At 50.4% G+C, this 5,481-nt stretch overlaps 2 annotated features.

The window, feature by feature from the left end:
* Positions 261-1,194: an enhancer, noted in NCBI's record as "H3K27ac-H3K4me1 hESC enhancer chr11:71362467-71363400 (GRCh37/hg19 assembly coordinates)". NCBI's record gives its function as "activates a minimal SCP1, AML or CMV promoter by ChIP-STARR-seq in naive H9 embryonic stem cells {active_cell/tissue: H9 hESC(naive)}" and the evidence as "EXISTENCE:reporter gene assay evidence [ECO:0000049][PMID:30033119]".
* Positions 1,195-2,128: an enhancer, noted in NCBI's record as "H3K27ac-H3K4me1 hESC enhancer chr11:71361533-71362466 (GRCh37/hg19 assembly coordinates)". NCBI's record gives its function as "activates a minimal SCP1, AML or CMV promoter by ChIP-STARR-seq in naive and primed H9 embryonic stem cells {active_cell/tissue: H9 hESC(naive and primed)}" and the evidence as "EXISTENCE:reporter gene assay evidence [ECO:0000049][PMID:30033119]".

Genomic DNA, 5,481 nt, shown 5'->3' with positions numbered 1-5,481 from the left:
TATCCAGAATGACACAGAATTCCAGCCAGACAAGGTGGCTCACGCCTGTAATCCCAGCACTTTGGGAGGCCGAGGTGGATCACCTGAGGTCAGGAGTTCCAGACCAGCCTGGCCAACATGGTGAAACTCCCTCTCTTCTAAAAATACAAAAAAATTAGCCAGGTATGGTTGTGGGTGCCTGTAGTCCCAGCTACTCAGGAGGCTGAGGCAGGAGAATCGCTTGAACCTGGGAGACAGAGACTGCAGTGAACCAAGATTGCACCATTGCACTCCAGCCTGGGCAGCAAAAGTGAAACTCCGTGTCAAAAAAGAAAGAAAGAAAAAAGAATGACACAGAATTTGCTAAAGGGGGAGAAAAGGCTTTCTTCCAAAGCTGGGCCTGGTTTCTACAGAGAGTCTTTCAGATGAAAATTAGGCAACTCTTTGCAAGCAGCTCTTTGCAAGCACCTCAGAGGAGAACCCCTCACCCTGATGAATCAGGCACACAGGCGGATCCAAGACAATTGGCTGCGCGCATGTGAACAAGCCTATGGTGGAAATGCAGTGCCTTATTTGTTTGGGGTGGTTTAATCACCAGGAGGGAGAAGCTTCTAAAGCAGCATTCAGAGGTGGCTGTTGCCTGGGTTTTCTGGAAGGGGGAGGTGGTGAGGATGAGGGCTTCCATTTCATCTGCAGGCCCCTTGCAGAAGGAGCTGGGGAAAGCTTTGCAGCCATCTGCACACTGTTTGCCATCTTGTCTGGCTGGGCAGCCGAGCTCCAGATGGGGGCGGATGGGATAGCTCTTGCCACTGTATTTGGAGAGAGATGGCAGGGAAGTCAGCCCCCATGAAGAAGACAGGAGCACACAGGTGCTGGACAGTGCTGCCTAGGCCCCTGGGGCTGAAGTGTCCAACCCCGCAGCCTCTAGGTGCCACTAAAGCAGCCCGAGAGGATCTTCTCTGTCCATCTCCATCCTGGCACCTATAGACACTTGGAGACAGTCCTTTACATGGGAACTCACAAATGCACACTGATAACCCCCACACGGAACTCTCATACGTAGCAAGTGAAAAGACAGGATGCCAGTTAAACTTGAATTTCAGATAAACAACAAATCATTTTTTTAGGGTAAGCAGGTCCCAAATATTGCATGGGATATATTTGCACCAAAAAAAAAAAAAAAAAAAAAGGTTAATGAGAAACTCAGGTTTAATTGGACTTCCTGTATTTTACCTGGCAAGCCTAACCCTGCATAAACACAACCCCGAGTTTGAAACTCACAGAGAAGCCATGGCCGTGCTCACACACGTGCACAAACCCATATGCCTTACAGAGTCAAGGGCTGTGATGAGGGTCCCCACACTTGCACACTTCCCTGTCCTCTGTCTGGGCTCAGAGTAAACAGAGGGTCACCTGGCATCCACGTCTAAGCTGGGCTTGGAGATGTCCTAATGAAGCAGGATGCTGACCTGCACTTCCCCAGCTCAGTCGGGGCTGCAGCCAGGCCTAGCTTCCAGTCTCGGGCCTAGAACACACAGCACAGCCCCAGACCTTGGCAAGAAGGCTTCATCTCAAAGGCTACTGGCTCAGGACCTATTAGAAGCCCCACTTCTTTCCTCTGTTTCTGCTGCCATTGCCCCAGTCTCTGACCCTGACACTCAATCACTCTATAAACACAGCAGGTACTAGGGGTGGCTCTGGGCTCGGCACTAAAGACAATGCCCCTGGTAAAGCCACAGTCTAGCAATGACAGTCAACCACGTATCAGCAACAGCCCTGCCCCACGGGTGCTGACTGCGCACAAGGCCGGCGCTGTGAACGTGCTCTCAACAGTGATCTCACTGAACCCTCGTGGCAGCTCTAGGATGCAGACAGTAGCATCACACTATCCCCATTTTACTTTTGAGGAAACTGAGGCCTGAAGAAGGCAAATGCAGGCCTCAAGATTTGCAGTAACATTGCCAGGAATGTTTGAGAAAGCAAACTTCTCCAGAGTGAGGCAGTCTGCCAGAGCTCAGAAGCCAGGGTCCCTGTTAGCAGGGGCTGGGGGGACTGTGGTGGGCAGACAAGCAGGTAGGGGCTGGACCCCCCAGGACACCAGGGTGCAGACTGGTGTGAGTAAAAGAAAGAGAGGCGATCATGCCATCATCTGCAGAAGATGATGTCTACAGAGGACAGTACCATGTGAGCCCTTGGGGAGCTGGATGACTGGATGGAATTTTGCACAGGATGCAAATTAAGCACAGATCCCCCTCTGACCTAGACAGCCCACCTCCAGGAACATCTCACAGAAATACAGGCACAGAGCACCAAGTGATGTGTGTGAGTAAATTCATCAGAACACCGTCTGTGATTGGGAAAAGGCAGAAACCATCTAAAGACGTATCGGTGCAGGGCTGGTTAAACGAAGCGTGGTGCATCCACACGTCAGAATAACTGCTGGGAGAAGAAGGTGGTACCCAGGTTCCAATGTGAGACAATGTCAAAGACATGCTGCCTGAAAAGCAGGCTTTCCAAAGAATAAATATAGCATTATTCCATTTTTACTTTTTAAAAAAGGTTACAATAAACACTTATGTGTGAATACAGGTGCTTGCGTGCACAGAGGAAAAAGGTGTGGACAGGAACAGAAAACCAAACCTGCGGGTTCTCACTCATAAGTGGGAGTTGAAAAATGAGAACACATGGACACAGGGAGGGTAACATCACACACCGGGACCCGTCGGGGGTGAGGGACAAGGGAGGGGAGAGCGTTAGGACAAATACCTAATGCATGCGGGGCTTAAAACCTAGATGACGGGTTGATAGCTGCAGTAAACCACCATGGCACATGTATACCTATGTAACACACCTGCACATTCAGCACATGTATCTCAGAACGTAGAATAAAAAATAAAAAGGAATCAAAGAAAAAGTTGTGGAGAGGTATACCTCAACCCTTCCCAGTGTTACCTCTGAGAAGCAAGATCAAGAAAAGCAAATCAAGAGGATGTTTTGTTTTTTGTTTTTATATAATTTTTTTTTTTTTTTGGAAACATAGTCTCGCTCTATTGCCCAGTCTGGAGTCCAGCGACACAATCTCGGCTCACTGCAACCTCCTCCTCACTGCAACCTCCTCCTCACTGCAACCTGCTGCTTCTGGGTTCCAGTGATTCTCTTGCCTCAGCCTCCCAAATAACAAGGATTACAGGTGTGCACCACCAAGCCCGGCTAACTTTTGTATTTTTTGTAGAGACAGGGTTTCACTATTTTGGCCAAGCTGGTCTCTAACTCCTGACCCACCTGCCTTAGCCTCCAAAAGTGCTGGGATTACAGGTGTGAGCCACCATGCGTGGCCTGCATTGCTTGAATTCTCAGACCACATGGACCCTCTCATCTGGTCCTACTGCAAGAGTCCAAGGCAGGAAAGGCAAAAGGCAGGGGCTTACCCCTACATCAGGACAACATAGAACAGAGTCAAAAAAGAAAAACATGAATGGATCAGTCAAGAGGGCCCTGCACATGCCCTCCCAGGCACCTACACCTTGCAACTTAAGCCGACAAGCTTTCAAGCCACAAAGTCTTCCTTCCTAGAGACTAGCAAGGACACAAGCCCTGGCCAATCCCCTCCAGGAGGATGGTTTGAGGGATAAGGTGGGGGGCCCAGTCAGGGGTGGCAGGAGGAAAGGGGGACATGAAGCCAAGGAAACCAGGGCACCCCATGCTTCCTGAAGGCCACCAGAACAGGGCACCACACAGAGCCCCTGTGTACCTGTTTCTACAACAGCCTGAAGACAAGGAAAAGGAAAACAAGGAAAATACACAAAGCCCAGCCTCACCTGGAGCAGGTTAAATAAAGGTGTGTTGACTTCATGTCCTTTGGAATTGGAAATCCAAGCTTCCTCCTCTGTGCCTTTAGGGTCCTGGCTGCTGCCCCACAGCTCCCTTCTCTTCTCTCCTCCTCCTGTCCTTTTTTTTTTTTTTTTTGAGATGGAATCTTGCTCTGTTGCCCAGGCTGGAGTACAGTGGCACAATCTCAGCTCACTGCAACCACCACCTTCTGGGTTCAAGCAATTCTCGTGGCTCAGCTTCCCGAGTAGCTGGTATTATAGGTGTCACCATATCCGGCTAATTATTGTATTTTTAGTAGAGACAGGTTTTCACCATGTTGGCCGGGCTACTCTCAAACTCCTGGCCTCAGGCGATCCGCCCACCTCGGCGTCTCAAAGTGCTGGGATTACAGGTGTGAGCCACCATGCCTGGACCTCTTGTCCTAACTCTGCCATCTCTTTGCAGTCTCCCCTGAGCAGCTTTTCCTGGGCCCACCCTGCCCCCCTCCAGAGCTGCACTCTCAAACCACCCCCCAATGCTCCCGGCCCTGGCTCCTGCCCCAGGGCTCTGATCCTCAGCTGGTGAGGTCTAGAGGGTCAGAGGGAGCCAGACTCCCTAGAGAAGTTAAGGCAGGAGCCCTGTGCTGGGCTGTGGGTAACCTGCCCCCTTCCAGCTGGGGCCAAATAGAAGAGGGAAAGGCTGCCCCCAGAATACAGGGCCCTCAGAGGCCCTGGGGATCTGTGCTGGCAGTCAGGAGGACTGTCACCTTAGAGCAGTTGCCTGCAAGAAGGGCTGTGCAGGAAGCTGCATGTTGCTCAGAGAACAAAAAAAGGAAATTAAATGCGCCATCTGGTTATTAGCAAGAGCTTTTTAGACAGACACTTAAAAATGCATGCCTAGACATTATAAAACTTGGGGGAAATGTTAATTTCAATAACGCCACTTGTGCTTGCAAAAACCATTCTTTTATCTCCCTTCCTAGTAATTTGGGGGCTCCATCCCTCAGAGTGGCAGCGCCAAGACAGCTGGCTTCACTGGGTTTTGTAAGCTGTGCAAGGTGAGATCCCAAGCCCTTGCCTGGAGACCCATCTTAGGAAAATGTTAGAACAGGGCAACAAGTTGCCATTTCCTCCCTCCTTTCTCTTCCCCATACAAAAATCAGAAAGCACACTAGCCCAGTGCCCAGCCACAGTGGTGAGGAAACCCCACTCAAAATCCTGGGTTGTGCCCCTGATGCCAAAGACCTGCAAAACTGGGACTCACCTGCTGCAACCCTAGCCCAGACTTCTGTACATTTCAGGGGTGGCTGGACTCATGGCCGCCTGGGACGTCAGGGTGGTACAAAGTCCTCTTAATCTAAGACTGTCGGGGTACTAAGATAAGCATTTTTTTTTTCCCTTTTCTTGAGAGCCAGATGGTAAATAGTTCAGCTTTGCAGGCCATAGGTCTCTGTCCCAACTATTCAACTCTCCATTGTAGCAGGAAAGCAGCCACAGACAATATGCACTGAAATGGGTGTGACTGTGTTCCAATAAAACTTTATTTGTGTGAAGACAGGGGGCTCGTTGTGGTGTGTGGGCTACAGCCTGCCTCCTCTGCTACAGCGTGATCTCCAAGGACCCATCCATCTCGTAGACCAGCAGCTGGCACACAGGAGCTGCTCAGATACTTGAAGGAGGAATGGAGAAGGCA

This window comes from Homo sapiens, chromosome 11 (genome assembly GCF_000001405.40).
Source record: "Homo sapiens chromosome 11, GRCh38.p14 Primary Assembly".
Lineage (NCBI taxonomy): Eukaryota > Metazoa > Chordata > Mammalia > Primates > Hominidae > Homo > Homo sapiens.
This window is presented reverse-complemented; position numbering and strand designations above follow the sequence as displayed.